This window comes from Homo sapiens, chromosome 3 (genome assembly GCF_000001405.40).
Source record: "Homo sapiens chromosome 3, GRCh38.p14 Primary Assembly".
Classification (NCBI taxonomy): Eukaryota; Metazoa; Chordata; class Mammalia; order Primates; family Hominidae; genus Homo; species Homo sapiens.
The window spans coordinates 185,438,871-185,455,187 of NC_000003.12; the positions used below are offsets into that span (position 1 = coordinate 185,438,871).

Consider the following 16,317-nt stretch of genomic DNA (forward strand, 5'->3'; position numbering starts at 1 on the left):
TATATTTGATATGTATTTTGCATTCCTGGAAAACAGTATGACCAATGAGGCTACAGCTAAAAGTGGAATAACTTACAAATCCCCCTCCTAAACTAGGAGGAACTAGGATCAGAATGGATCCTTCCTTGATAAAACTCTGATTATAAAGCTAAAAATGTCATGTGATAAGTCTTAATTGGGATCACATCCACAAAGTAAGGAAGGTAAATCTTGGGTACAGGTTTTGTAGAATGGGTTTAAATGAGTACTGAAGTTGAGTTTTGATTCCCAAACAAGACCCCTTATGGAAAGGGAAAGACCTGTGAAAAAAAGAGAAGCATTCAACCAGGACACTAAGAGACAGAAAGAAGTACTTGGATTCATTTCCTTGGGGAAGGGACATTCATGCAGAGGGCATGGGAGAAAGCTTCAATTGCTGCAGTTAATTCTATCCTTGGTTGACCTAGTAGGGCCAGGAGGATGTGTGACTAAAATGAAATGCTGCAGAGACCAATTATCATCTTTCCAAAGAGGATAAATTTCAAAAGACAATGGGGAGATTATTTCAAGCAGACAGACAAACAGAGACCCTCTTCTTTCTTTCCTTCATTTTACTACACTGAGACCATCTTCACTTCCAGTATGCTACACCCTCCTAAATGGAAGGAAGGGTCAAAAGCTTTTAAACTTAGATCACTAGGACGCTGGGTTTGAGACACAGAATGTCCCGTAGATGAGTATGGCCTTTTGGCCTCTTGAAGTGAATTAGGCTGTGTGTTGCAGGTAAGAGGGCTTTCCAGTAGGGTACCCGGGGTCACTGAAAGTAGAAATGTGTCCTAATAGGATGGTGTTGTGAGAAGCTTTATTTTTACTTCCTTTCTTTTGCTTCTTTCTCTTTCTTCCTTTTTCCCACCTCTCCCTTCTGACTCTCCTACCTGCATATGCAGTTTTCAGCACTGCCCTGCTAGTGCCCAACTCTTTAGGCTGAAGACACTTGAATAGTATTTACCTCTACATGGAAAACAATAGTGAGACTGTGTTCCTGGCCCATTACACCATGCTCTTGGGCATTGTGCAGTGTTATGTTTGCAGCCATCTGTGCCATGTGTTGCTTGGCCAATGAATCCCATTCAGGACCGTCTGGAAGATATATGAGAGAATGATTAGATTTTAGTACATCTCTCTGGATACTGATTTCTGTGCTTACAGCTTCTTTTGAAGTTAATAAAAACCACATACAGAAGGGGAAGTACAAGATAAGAATGCTATACTCTTTTTGCATCCAATTTTTTTGTTAATCTTTTAAGAAAACTCAACCTGACTGTTCCTAATGGAATTCAGTGCCAAGGGGAAGAAAAGGTAGCAATTAGAAGTGATTATAGAGCTGTTATTTATAGCTACTAAGAAACCTTGTCATAGTACAGGGATGATGGAATGATTGCTCCTCGTTCGTCAGTCAAGAGAAATAAAAGGTGCGTAAGATCACTGTTAGACCGTTTCTATGTGGAACAAGTTAAAACATAGTCGAATAGGAGGCTGAGTACCTTCAAAAATGTTTATGTTGATATACTTAAGCATATTACATTATACCTGCCGTATTTATTAGTTCTCTGTAATGATAATTAATCATTTGTTTGTAGCTGCCAGACACTTGGGTTCACCAAGCTTTCCTAAGAGACATATAACCGGAACTTGAAAAAAAATTATTAAAAATCAAGATAAGAATTCTCTGTAGCCTAGAAAATGATAGGAGAGTAATAGAAATAGCTTTGTGGCATTTGACAGGCACATCAGGGCAGGGGAAAATGAAGACTAATTATACTTCTTCATAACCTGCTATTGTTATAAGATCATCATCACCTTCATATGATCAGTGCCGTAAGCCATGACCTCAAAATTCTTTCATCACTTACAGCAGCTGAAGAGATAGGCATGGGTTGGTAGCTGGCTGAAGGCTTTAACTGGATGTCTTACAGATACTCTGCTAACTTCTCTAGAAAGTTTCAAAGGAAGGCATGTATACCCATAAGCGATAAGACATAGAGAATTACATATAGTAATTTTTCTTCTCATCTTGAGAACAAAACAGAAGTAGAGTTACTATGATCATTCCCTTTTATGAGATAATGGTGTTAACACAAGAATTCCCAATGTGCTTGTCTAAACAGAAGTTAAAAAGCTAAAAGGGAGGCAGTATTGTACAGAGTGGAGTGGGCATGGACTTTCAAATTAGGCAGACTGAGTTTGAATCCCAGCTCTGTCACTTATTAGTTGTATGATCTAGTTGTGATTAGGACAAGTCACTTTCTCACTCTGAGCCTTCCTTGTAAAAATGGAAAAGGTAATATTTATCTTATGGTAATTTGGGGCAGATTAAATAAGACAAATAAACATGGAAATGTCCTTGAAAAATAGAAGAGGTTCTTTCATGTTAGTCTCCTTCCTCCTCCTCCAGGCCTCTGCACATGTTATTTGAAGGCTTTTTTAGTCAAGAAGGTTGAGGTGAAGTTAACGAACATTTGCTAGAGACTTGCTGTGAACCTCTAGGCGTTGAGGTAGAGAGAAAAGAACTTGAAGACCTTTCCCTTCAAGGAGCTTACAATCTATATGCAGAGAGAAAAACTGCATATAAAGAACTAGTGGCTGTTGTATATCATAGGAATTTAGGGAAGAGAAAGATCTTTTTGGATTGGAATAATTGGAAAAGGTTTTCATGGATGATGTAGGAATTGATGCAAATAAAGGCTAATAGATATATAATATGTTGTATAGGCTGGATGCAGTAGCTCACGCCTGTAATCCCAGCACTTTGGGAGGCCAAGACGGGTGGATCACTTGAGTACAGGAGTTCGAGAGCAGCCTGGGCAACATGATGAAACCCCGTCTCTACTAAAAATAAAAAAAATTGGTGGCCAGGAGCGGTGGCTCAAGCCTGTAATCCCAGCACTTTGGGAGGCTGAGGCAGGCAGATCACCTGAGGTCAGGAGTTCAAGACCAGCCTGACCAATATGGTGAAACCCTGTCTCTACTAAAATACAAAAATTAGCTGGGTGTGGTGGTGGGCACCTGTAGTCCCAGCTACCCGGGAGGCTGAGACAGGAGAATTGCTTGAACCCGGGAGGTGGAGGTTGTGGTGAGCCAAGATTGTGCCACTGCACTCGAACCTGGGTGACAGAGCGACTCTGTCTCAAAAAAAAAAAAAAAAAATTAGCCTGGCGTGGTGGTGCACACCTGTAATCCCAGCTATTTGGGATGCTGAGACAGGAGAATCACTTGAGCCTGGGAGGCAGAGGTTGCACCACTGCACTCCAACCTGGATGACAGAGCGAGACTCTTTCTTAAAAAAAAAAAAAAAGTGTATATTTTCATATTCTTTTGTGATTCATAAGCATGACTGGGTGTTCCCACTCACGGGTGAGATGTGCCTCCCTCCAACCTTGTTACGACGTCACCACATTACCTGTCTGACATGAAAAAAAAAAAGAAATGTTTTTCAAAGATTATGTAAGATGGAAAATTGAGTCGTCTTTGGGTCCTCAGTCTAGTTAGTTATTTTTAATTTGAGTAATTTAAAATTCAGCAAATAATATTAAAAGTAGAAGTATTTTCTCTGAATTATCTTCCTGTACACTCATAAAACCCTCTAAAACTTTAAAAGGAAGAAATTTTAAATTATTCCTTTTTTTTCTTTTTTTTTTTTCTGAGACAGAGTCTCACTCTGTCACCCAGGATGGAGTGCAGTGGCACGATCTTGGCTCACTGCAACCTCCTTCTCCCAGGCTCAAGTGATTCTCTTGCCTCAGCCTCCCGAGTAGCTGGCATTACAGGCATGCACTACTATGCCCAGCTAATTTTTGTATTTTTAGTAGAGACGCGGTTTCACCATGCTGGCCAAGCTGGTCTCGAACTCCTGACCTTGGTGATCCACCTGCCTCAGACTCCCAAAGTGTTGGGATTACAAGCGTGAGCCACCGCGGCCTGGCCAAATTATTATTATTTTTTATTTTTGAGAGGGAGTCTAACTCTGTTTCCCAGGCTAGAGTGCAGTGGTGCAATCTCGGCTCACTGCAACCTCCACCTCCCGGGTTCAAGCAGTTCTCTGCCTCAGTCTCCTGAGTAGCTGGGACTACAGGCGCGCGCCACCATGCCCAGCTAATTTTTTTGTATGTTTAGTAGAGACAGGGTTTCACCATCTTGGCCAGGCTGGTCTTGAACTCCTGACCCTGTGATCCACCCGCCTTGGCCTCCCAAATTATTCTTAATGATCTAAAACAACACAGTATCCAGCCTGCACAAACTTCAGAAAAGTGTGCTCTTTGTCCCGGAATGGAAGGGTCCCACAGAAAAGGCACCAGACACAGCACAGCATATAGATAGCCAGAGTGAACAAAACAAACAAAAATTGTCTATGTGCATCATAGAGAAACCTGTAGACTAGAGAAGTTTCCATGCTAATTTGAGAATCAGGAACTATTATCTATACACATTTTTAAAATAATTCGGGTATAGAATTGGTTTTTATTAAATATTCTTTAAATATACATATGTATACTTGTATGTGTGTATTGATGTACATGTTTATGTTTTCTTGGAAGGGGTGTTTGTACTCAGGCCCCATGTTATTGTATTATCATGGAATACTGTGCCCATGGACAACTCTACGAGGTCTTACGAGCTGGCAGGAAGATCACACCTCGATTGCTAGTAGACTGGTCCACAGGAATTGCAAGTGGAATGAATTATTTGCACCTCCATAAAATTATTCATCGTGATCTCAAATCACCTAAGTGAGTTCTGGGGCTAATGTTTCAGCTATTTTGGTTTGTTGTTTTGAAATACAGAATTTTTATCAACCTCAGTTGACGTTTTCAGACATCATACCTTTAGTTCAGTTTCAATCAGCACAGTGGGTAATTCTGTTTGCGCATCTCTTGGGTTATTGTTGACCTACCTGGTTACCTGTAGGGCAGATACGTCCAGGTATCTGAAACCACTTTTCCTTTTTGGTGCTTTTAAATCATACAACTGTGAAACAAAATTCATTATTATCTGAAGTATTCACCTTCTGTCATCTCAGATAGCTAATGCCAGACCTTCCCGCTAGAAGGCTTGATTTGTTGTTTTCCATGTGTTCAAAAAACTTTTTAAACTGAGTTTCAGAAATGTATACAACAGGATAAAATGGATAAATAAGAAACAGGCTAGCTGGGTGGAGTGGCTCACGCCTGTAATCCTAGAACTTTGGGAGGCCAAGGTGGGTGGATCACTTGAGATCAGGAGTTTGAGACCAGCCTGACCAACGTGGTGAAACCCTGTCTCTACTAAAAATACAAAAAATCAGCCAGGCATGGTAGCAGGTGCCTGTAGTCCCGGCTACTTGGGAGGCTGAGGCAGAAGAATTGCTTGAACCTAGGAGGAGGAGGTTGCAGTGAGCTGAAATCACACCACTGTACTCCAGCCTGGGTGACAGAGCAAGACTCTGTCTCAAAAAAAAAATAATAAAAATAAATAAATAATAAAAATAAAAAGAAGCAGAGGCAAAGGAAAAGTAAAAACATTAGAACTAAAAATTGTTCACAAATTATATGCCGTAAGATTCTGTAGACGTGGATTACAGATTTGGCTTTGAGCTTCTAGTGTCTAAGCAAAGGAGGAAATAAACAATTACAAGGTTCACAATGGCCATAGGAAAAATAAACACTGGCTATGTAAGAGAAGCAGGGCTATTTCTAGTAATCTCTGTTTTCAAAATGATTTCTTGGCTACCAATCACTTTAAGAGGAGTGTGTAGTTAGTTCCCCAAATTGAATGAAGAAAGAAATTGATAAAATGATTTATTTCAGTATAACTCCTATTTTTAAACATTATTTTTATTATTTATCATCACATTTTGGGTTAGATAAGCAAAGGATTAATCTCTTTTCAAAATATATTTGTAGCCTGGGCAATATAGTGAAAACCCATCTCTACAAAAAATTTAAAAATTAGCCAGGCATGGTAGTATGAGCCTATAGTTCAAGCTACTCAGGAGGCTGAGGTGGGAGAATCACTTAAGCCCAGAAGGTCAAGCCTACAGTAAGCCATGATCACACCACTGCACTCCAGCCTGGACCACAGAGCACAACCCTGTCTCAAAAAATAATAAAAATTTAAAAAAACTATATATTTATTGTATATACACACACACATATATATATTTGCATAGTGTTTTCATGGTTTATAATATCTTAGGGGGAATCCATTATCACATCTTTGATCCTGGCAAAAACTGTGTGGGATACGTAACAAGTATTGTTATTTTATGTAAGGAAAACTAGAGATTAGCCCAAAGTCATGGGGCTAGGACTCGAACCTAGAATTTCTGAACCAAAGGTTACTGCATTCTACCTCATTATGTGAAGGTAGGGGACTCACAATGAATCCTGCCTTTCCTCCATGGACGGTATAAATCAATCCTTCATTATAAACTTCAAAACAGCTCTTATTTATCACCATCATTCTCAGCAATATTTATTACAGTGCTTAGTTGACTGAACAACCTCCTCCTTGCTTTACTTGCAAGTAAACATGATTGTGTAGTGTTCATTTCTTCCGTTCACATTCTTACCCTGTTGCTTTTGCCATCCAGTGCATACATGTAAAGGACATGAACTACCTGAAGGCCTCTCTGAATGGTCTCCTTTTTAACCAACTTGTTCTCCTTATGAATTAATCTTAGAGGGAAGGAGTCAGGAAGCCGTAGAATAGAGTAGTAATTGGGTTACCCAGTAAGCCTTTCCCTCTATTAGCAATAACACTCCCAACCCCAGCAGCGTTGGCTTCTTTAGGTTTCAAGCTGACTTTGGGAAGACAGAGATCAATCTGACTTGCTGTAACAAGAGATCTCATTACTTACATTAAATCTGCAGGCTCTGTGACCACAACTTTGTCTCAGAGAAGATTTCAGAAAAATTCTAATGTTATATTTTTCTAGTCTCCTCTCAAGTCCATCCTCTCTTGTCACACCAACAGAGGCAGAGAGGAAGTTCCCATAAAAAGTTCCCTCTTTTAGGGGCTTACTGCCTACTCTCACTTTCCTGGTGTATGATATCAATTCTCCAATTCTCTCATATATCCCATAATATTTTAATCCTTATGCATTTTCACTAAGACTAACACTGTTAAATCAAAACTCCTAAGTTATATAAATTTTACATATTACGTGCAAAACCAGGGCATGGAGGATGGTATTCAAAAGCAATTGTAAGCTCTGAGCTATTTGGTAAATAGCCATTGGTGTTGGGGTTGTGAGCATGGTAAATGTGAAGGAATCCCTGGTTCAAATGGAGAAGCAAGGGGATAGAGTCAGATGCTTTCTGCCTTACAGCCTCCTCAATTCTGATACTATTTGAGGATGAAGCCTCTTATCATTTTTTTTTTTTTTTGAGATGGGGTCTCGCTCTGTCGCCCAGGCTGTAGTGCAGTGGCACAATCTCCACTCACTGCAAGCTCCGCCTCCCGGGTTCACGCCATTCTCCTGCCTCAGCCTCCCGAGTGGCTGGGACTACAAGCGCCCGCCACCACGCTCGTAAGCCTCTCATCATTAAACATAGGTCCCTAGATCATTAAAGCCTCTGAAACCCTAAGTCTTTAATTTTCTAAAGTTCTGAACAGGTTATTGCAAGTGAATTCGATCTAATGTGAAGCTGTCAATTTGGTACCGGATTGTATTCATCTTCAAGGCTGGCAGAGAGCACTTTGCCTCAGGCCACATTTTCAGATAACTACTATGACAAGTAAAACAGGACTGGTGTGGAATTTACTTAAGCTTGGATTTATTTCTGCTTTTCCTTATCAGCACTAGTGAAATCCCAGCATATATATTAGCCTTTTAATGTAATGAATCCCAAACATCATGGTCTCATTCATGATATTAGTTGGCTATCATTTAAACAGTGTTTTAAAAGAAGTACTCTTTTTAGTGGCCTGGCTAAAGCCAGCAAGGATGGAAACCAATATTTATTGATAACGGTGCCTTATGTATCTTACCTCATTTAATTCAAATGAAAATTCAGTGAGATTGTTATTACAGGTCTATCATCCCTTATCCAAAACTCTTGAAGCAAGATATTTTCAGAAAGGTAGTGCACTACCTTAGACATCCAGCGAGGTCTGGAGCAGCATCCTAAAATCAACCACATTAACAAATCTGCAGCAAAACCTATTGTTCACACAAAATGGGATGAAGAAAGTGAGTTTGCCTTATACATGTGAAAAAAATATAAACTGGTTGAGAACTTTTTGCATTTTCAATTTGTGAATAAGACCTGAAGAGTCTCCATCCTACACATGAGAAAACTGGCTTAGAAGAGTTAAGTAAGGCCGGGTGCAGTGGCTCATGCCTGTAATCGCAGCACTTTGGGAGGCTGAGATGGGTCGATCACCTGAGGTCAGGAGTTCGAGACCAGCCTGGCCAACATGGAGAAACCCCATCTCTACTAAAAATACAAAAATTAGCTGGGCATGGTGGCAGGTGCCTGTAATTGCAGCTACTTGGGAGGCTGGGGCAAGGAGAAAATCCCTTGAACCCGGGAGGCAGAGGTTGCAGTCAGCTGAGATCGTGCCATTGCACTCCAGCCTGGGCGGCAAGAGTGAAACTCTGTCTCAAAAAAAAAAAAAAAAAAAAAAAAAAAAGAGTTAAATAACTTGGCAAAGGTCACACAGCAAGTAGAAGAGGCAGAATAAGACTAGGTGTTAAAAGCCCATTACGCTAAACTGCCTCACAAGTATGAATGATGCTATTTCTAGTGTATAGCCAATGCCCCAGTGACATTGGAAACTGCAAGCTGAATGCTACAAGATAGGAAGTAGCAGATAAAGTCTTCAGTTTCAGCCATTTAGAATCATGGTTTTCGTTAGTACTAATGATCCAGATGTTTTCTTTTTATTTCTTTTTAAAGTGTTTTAGTGACCCACACAGATGCGGTAAAAATTTCAGATTTTGGTACATCTAAGGAACTCAGTGACAAAAGTACCAAGATGTCATTTGCTGGCACGGTCGCATGGATGGCGCCAGAGGTGATACGGAATGAACCTGTCTCTGAAAAAGTTGATATATGGTGAGTGGCGCCACCAGTTGTGCCAACTAAAAAGCCTTTTCCCACTTTCGCCCTATTAGCACTGTCTTCCTTCAGCACTTACTTTTCCAGAATATTCTTCAGTGTTGCTCACTTTTGGTTGATTTCAGCCTCATATTTTCTGAGGTACTTCCCAGTATGGTGATATATGGGGAGAAGGATTAGGGGGAATTAGGGTGGCTATCTACTCAGTAAGTCACCAGTTTGGGGGACCTCAGAGAATATGCTGAACTTTCTAGGAAACTGAAAGTTTACTTCAAATGATCATTTAGTATAGAAGTCTTTCTGAAATGTGTTACATAGTTCTCACCTTCTTGAGTAAAGTACAAGAGCTTACCTAATCTCAATGACTCAGGTCATCATTACACATATCAATAATGTACCTTGCTATGATACAATTATGTTCTCTAGACATGTTTGAGATGTAGGAGGTTGTTTTGCCCTTTTATTGAACAGCCTCTATAGGCTATGCTTTAAAAAAAAATCTCTGTAACCTTTCCTCTGAGGTTATAAGTCTTTTCTATTAACAGTATTTTTCCCTGTAATAGCTTTTCTTTTACCCTTAAAATTGGCAACTAGTAACTTCTAGGCTTAAAACCAAAATAATAGCACATGTCAAAATTGCATGTAATACCAGAGCAAATAGGAAAAAGTAGAAATGTGGGGTCATTCGTAATTTAGATAATCATTACTAAAGTACCCTCCTTAGGGATTACTAATTGATGTTCCCACCAGAAATATGTAAGAGTGTTTTCTCAGTCTCACCAACAAAATGTGCTAAACTCTTGGATTTTTGCCAATCATATAGGTAAAAAAACGGTATCTTGGGTGCATTCCTCTTAGGATAAGTGAGCCTGTACTTTTGTTCATATGTGTTACAGCCATCGTATTTGCTTATTTGTGAATGACTCATAATCTTTGCTCAGCTTTCTGATTTTTACTCATAATTTATCAGAGTATTTTATGTATTAAGGAGATTCACATTTTGTGTAAATTGTAGATACTTCACATTTTGTTATTTTGCTTATGGTATTTTTTTCAGTGTCAGATTTTGAAAATACAGTTTAATTTCTCAATTTCTCCTTTTATGGCTTTTAGATTTCATGGTTTAAAAAGTCTTTAAAAGCCAGGCGCAGTGGCTCACACCTGTAATTCCAGCACTTTGGGAGGCCAAGGCGGGTGGATCACTTGAGGTCAGGAGTTCGAGACCAGCCTGGCCAACATGGTGAAATCCCATCTCCACTAAAAATACAAAAAATTAGCCAGGCGTGGTGGCACGCACTTGTAATCCCAGCTACTTGGGAGGCTCAGGCAGCAGAATCGCTTGAACCCAGGAGGTGGAGGTTGCAGTGAGCCAAGATCGCACCACTGCATTCCAGCCTAGGTGACAGAGCAAGATGCTGTCTAAAAAAAAAAAAAAAAAAAAAAAGTTTTTAACACTCCTAGATAATTTTTTAACTCCTTATTTTTTAGAAGATTTTTATGGTTTCATTTTTCTATTTAAATCTTTGATTCATGTGAAATTTATCTTGATTTATGGTGAGTTATAGATTTAATTTTTTTCCTAGCTGTTCCAACAACATTTATTAACTAATCAATTTTTCCCCACTGGTTTTTGATGTCACTTCTATCATACATTCAATTCCTAAATGTATTTGGTTTATTTCTGGATTTCTTGTCCAGTCCATTATGCTGGTGATCTGTTCACACACGGGAGTTAATTATTCAGGTTTTAATTTCTGGTAGTGTTGATTACCCCACATAGATTTTTTTTTTTTTTTCAGAGTTGTCCCAGATGTTTCTGTTTTTCTTATAGCAGTATTAGAATTTTAAAACTGGGTATATGTACTAATTTGATTTCAATTAATAGAGAACTAAAATACAAATCAGTCTTTCTGAAACATCTTCTGTCCATGTTCCCGGCGCTACTGTAGGTCTTTTGGAGTGGTGCTTTGGGAGCTGCTGACAGGAGAGATCCCTTACAAAGATGTAGATTCTTCAGCCATTATCTGGGGTGTTGGAAGCAACAGCCTCCACCTTCCAGTTCCTTCCACTTGCCCTGATGGATTCAAAATCCTTATGAAACAGACGTGGTAAGAATATTGTCTCTAAAACAATAGGGAGGTCTCTAATGTGTATTTGGAGTAAATATCCTGGTGGTGGAAAGAATAGGAGCTTTGGAGTAGGAGAATCTTGGGTTCAAATACTAGCTCTGCCCCTTTCTATCTGTGCAATTTTGGGCACGTTATTCAATATCAGTTTTCTCATTTGTAAAATAGAGACAACACTGACTCATAGAGTTATTGTGTTGTAATTAATTAAAATTTAGAAATAAAGAACTTGGTGTTATTATCTCAAAATAGTAGGCCTTGGTCAATGATAGCTACTATTTCTTTGCTAGTCCTAATGGACTATTATTAAATAGGTCACTAATCCTAGATTTCCATTTCATCATTAGACGTATCTCATAATTACATTTTCCTTTTGCTCTTCAGTATATCAAAACTGTACTGCAGGGCAGCCAGGCACAGTGGCTCACACCTGTAATTCCAACACTTTGGCTGGCAGAGATGGGAGGATCACTTGAGGCGAGGAGTTCAAGAGCAGCTTGGGCAACATAGCGAGACCCCATCTCTGTGTTAAAAACATAAAATAAAATAAAATATAAATAAAAAACTGTACTGCAGGGCCAGGCATGGTGGCTCACGCCTGTAATCCCAACACTTTGGGAGGCCGAGGTAGGAGGATCACTTGAACCCATGAGTCTGAGATCAGCTTAGGCAACATAGTGAGACCCCGTCTCTGAAAAAAAAATAAAAAATAAATTTAAAGAAATGTTAAGGGCCGGGTACGGTGGCTCACGCCTGTAATCCCAGCACTTTAGGAGGCCGAGGCGGGCGTATCACGAGGTCAGGAGATCGAGACCATCCTGGTTAACACGATGAAACCCCGTCTCTACTAAAAATACAAAAAAATTAGCCAGGTCTGGTGGCGGGTGCCTGTAGTCCCAGCTACTCAGGAGGCTGAGGCAGGAGAATGGCGTGAACCCAGGAGGCGGAGCTTGCAGTGAGCTGAGATTGCGCCACTGCACTCCAGCCTGAGTGACAGAGCGAGACTCCGTCTCAAAAAAAAGAAAAAAAGAAATGTTAAAACTGTACTGAGATACAATTCAGTTATGCTATCCTGATATAATGGAGTACAGCTGGTTTTACTCAGATATAGCCATTTTGAAGTAAACAATCTTCTTCATAAAGTAAAATAAAATCTTCATTCTCCTGGATACAACTTCTGAAATGCACAAACTGTCTTTTTCACTTTTAGGCAGAGTAAACCTCGAAACCGACCTTCTTTTCGGCAGACACTCATGCATTTAGACATTGCCTCTGCAGATGTACTTGCCACCCCACAAGAAACTTACTTCAAGTCTCAGGTAAGTTGGGAAACTTCCTACCAGGTGCTACTAAACAGATAGAGAACTCTCAATGAAACAGAGTAACTCTTAGAAGGGCCCATTGTGTTTGTTATAATAGTTATATAACTCCATTCATTGTGACACAATAAATATGATACTTCACACATATGACATCTTAAGAGCTTTTAAAGCACTTAACATTATTATTAACTCATTTGAAAAAACACGTGTTGGCCGGGTGCACTTTGGGAGGCCGAGCCAGGCAGATCACCTGAGGCCAGGAATTCAAGACCAGCCTGGCCAACATGGAGAAACCCCCGCTTCTACTAAAAATACAAAATTAGCCAGGTATGGTGGCGCATGCCTGTAATCCCACCTACTCAGGAGGCTGAGGCAGGAGAATCACTTGAACCCGGGAAGCGGAGGTAGTGTTCAGCCGAGATCATGCCATTGTACTCCAGCCTGGGCAACAAGAGCAAAACACCGCCTCAAAAAAAAAAAAAAAGAAAAAAGAAAGAAAGAAAAGAAAAAACACGTGTCAGAATATTATCCTTATAGTGGCTCCTGGTAAAACTGCTGAAGAGAAAAGAGAAAAAGAAGATAAGAAAGCTGTAATGTACATACACCTGAATTAGGATTACTGCTGACCTTCAAGAAAGTATTATCTTCTTTGAAGTAGAAAAGCTGAAGTACAGACGTGGGAGGTTAAATACCACAATGAGCCTATGATAGAACTCAGCCTAGAGAGAACCTTTTCTCTAAGTGTGTCACCTAGTAGCTCCAAGTAAGTATAATTTAATGATTCTGTTAGCCTCTACTGTACTACAAACCATCTCAAAACTTTTATTTTTATTTTTATTTTTTGAGACAAGGTCTCACTCTGTCAACCAGGCAGGAGTACCGTGGTCTGATCTCGGCTCACTGCAGCCTTCACCTCCCGGGCTCAAGCAACCCTCCCACTTCAGCCCCCCAAGTACCTAGGACTACAAGCATGCACCACCACACCTGGCTAATTTTTGTTTTTTGTTTTTGTTTTTTTGGTAGAGATGTGGTTTCACCATGTTGCCCAGGCTGGTCTCAAACTCCTGGGCTCAAGCGATCTCCCTGCCTCGGCCTCCCAAACTGCTGGGATTACAGGCATGAGCCATTGCCTGGCCCCATCCCAAAACTTATGGCTTAGAACAGTAAGCATTTATGTGTATGTAGCTCATGATTCTATGGGTTGGCAATTTGGGCCAGGCAGTTCTACTGGCTTTGACTGGGCTCACTCGTGTGTCTGTGGTGAATTGTCAGGTCAGCTGGGAGGCTGGCTGGTCCTAGGACGGTCTCATTCACGCACCTGACCACTGGCTGGCTATTAGCTAGAGCACCTTGCTTCTCCTCCACGTGGCCTCTATCCCTCCAGCAGGCCACCTTGGGCTTGTTCACATAGTGTTCTCAGGGTAACAAATGTAGCGAGAGAGCAAGTCCCAATGCACAAGTGATTTCCAGGCCTGTGCTGCATTATTCCTGCTAATGTTCCATCGGCCAAGCAAGTCACAGGCCAACCCAGATTCTCGGGATTGAGAAATAGGCTTCACCTCTTGACAAGAGAATCTGCCACAGCACATCATAAGGGCGCAGATCTGGAGAGGGGAAGAATTGGTGGCAATTAAATTAAAAGGGTGCAAATGTCATAAGGATTGGTCATCTAACCACTATCAATGTGGATAAGGGGGTGGTGAGAGATGAATTTTTTATAAGGCCCTTATCCCTTCCAGACCCAGGCAATATCAAAAGGAATGGAACTATAACTTTTGAAATAAATGTGATGATCCTGAATTATAGCTGTATGCTTATAGAACATAACAAAATTACCTAATTTCTCATTTCTCATATAGCTTTATCTCACTTAATGTTATTGTGCTTCAGAAATGAATTTTGTAAAGTGAATCGCATCTCCCCACTGACTTCCAGTAGCATTTCAAAGATTCAGTCTCAGAAAAGACATTTTACTAGCAATTGGCATTTCAGCCTCCTTCTCATAGCCCCCCATCCCTGAAGGGCGATGAGTTTACCCACCAGGAAAGTGTCTGATGAAAACAGTCCTGAACTTTTGGAGGGGCATCATCCCTGGGAGCTGAACAAGTCCTTAAATATGCTTTTCACTTTGGGAGGCCGAGGCGGGCAGATCACGAGGTCAAGAGATTGAGACCATCCTGGCCAACATGGTGAAACCCTGTCTCTACTAAAAATACAAAAATTAGCTGCACGTGGTGCTACACACCTGTAGTCCCAGCTACTCAGGAGGCTGAGGCAGGAGAATCACTTGAACCTGGGAGGCGGAGGATGCAGTGAGCTGAGATCACGCCACTGCACTCCACCCTGGGGGACAAAGCGAGACTCCGTCTAAAAAAAAAAAAAATTATATATATATATGAGATATATATATATGATACATATATATGAGATATATATATATGATACATATATATGAGATATATATATATGATACATATATATGAGATATATATGTGATACATATATATGAGATATATATGTGATACATATATATGAGATATATATGATACATATATATGAGATATATATGATACATATATATGAGATATATATATGATACATATATATGAGATATATATATGATACATATATATGAGATATATATATGATACATATATATGAGATATATATATGATACATATATATGAGATATATATATGATACATATATATGAGATATATATATGATACATATATATGAGATATATATATGATACATATATATGAGATATATATATGATACATATATATGAGATATATATATGATACATATATATGAGATATATATATGATACATATATATGAGATATATATGATACATATATGAGATATATATCATATATATGATATATATGAGATATATATCATATATATATGAGATATATATGAGATATATATGATATATATGAGATATATGAGATATATATGAGATATATATATGAGATATATGAGATATATATGAGATATATATATGAGATATATGAGATATATATGATATATATGAGATATATATATGAGATATATATGATATATATATGAGATATATATGATATATATACATATATATGAGATATATATGATATATACCATATATATGAGATATATATATGATATATACACATATATATGATATATATGATATATATATGATATATAGATATATATGAGATATATATGATATATATATGAGATATATATATGAGATATATATATGATATATATATGATATATATGAGATATTTATATGATATATATATGAGATATATATATCATATATGAGATATATATGATATATATGATATATATATCATATATATGAGATATATATGACATATATATGAGATATATACATGATATATATGAGATATATACATGATATATATATGAGATATATACATGATATATATATGAGATATATACATGATATATATATGAGATATATATATGATATATATATGAGATATATATATGATATATATATGAGATATATATATGATATATATATGAGATATATATGATATATATATGAGATATATATATGATATATATGAGATATATATGATATATATGAGATATATATGATATATATGAGATATATATGATATATATATGAGATATATGTGAGATATATATGAGATATATGTGAGATATATATATGAGATATATGTGAGATATATGAGATATATGTGAGATATATATATGATATATATGTGAGATATATATGATATATATGAGATATATATGATATATA

The 16,317-nt window shown here is 38.4% G+C and overlaps 1 protein-coding gene and 1 non-coding gene across 8 annotated transcripts in view, besides 1 other annotated feature; both read left to right on the forward strand.

Moving 5' to 3' along the window:
• The window catches only part of MAP3K13 (mitogen-activated protein kinase kinase kinase 13), a 206,134-nt gene that overhangs the window by 155,910 nt on the left and 33,907 nt on the right, over positions 1 to 16,317 (forward strand). For all 7 annotated transcript variants that reach the window (XM_047449193.1, XM_017007456.2, NM_001242317.2 and 4 more), the window contains 4 exons: positions 4,575 to 4,766; positions 8,919 to 9,077; positions 11,030 to 11,188; positions 12,417 to 12,525. In XM_047449193.1, coding sequence (XP_047305149.1) covers positions 4,575 to 4,766; positions 8,919 to 9,077; positions 11,030 to 11,188; positions 12,417 to 12,525 — 619 coding nt within the window. The remainder of the gene's footprint in view (positions 1 to 4,574; positions 4,767 to 8,918; positions 9,078 to 11,029; positions 11,189 to 12,416; positions 12,526 to 16,317) is intronic.
• LOC124906361 (small nucleolar RNA U13) lies at positions 3,349 to 3,449 on the forward strand. The gene has a single exon (XR_007096328.1). It is a non-coding gene; the product is annotated as a small nucleolar RNA U13 (small nucleolar RNA).
• Positions 13,117 to 13,317: a silencer, noted in NCBI's record as "peak4968 fragment used in MPRA reporter construct". NCBI's record gives its function as "represses an SCP1 promoter by STARR-seq MPRAs in K562 erythroleukemia cells {active_cell/tissue: K562}" and the evidence as "EXISTENCE:reporter gene assay evidence [ECO:0000049][PMID:32103011]".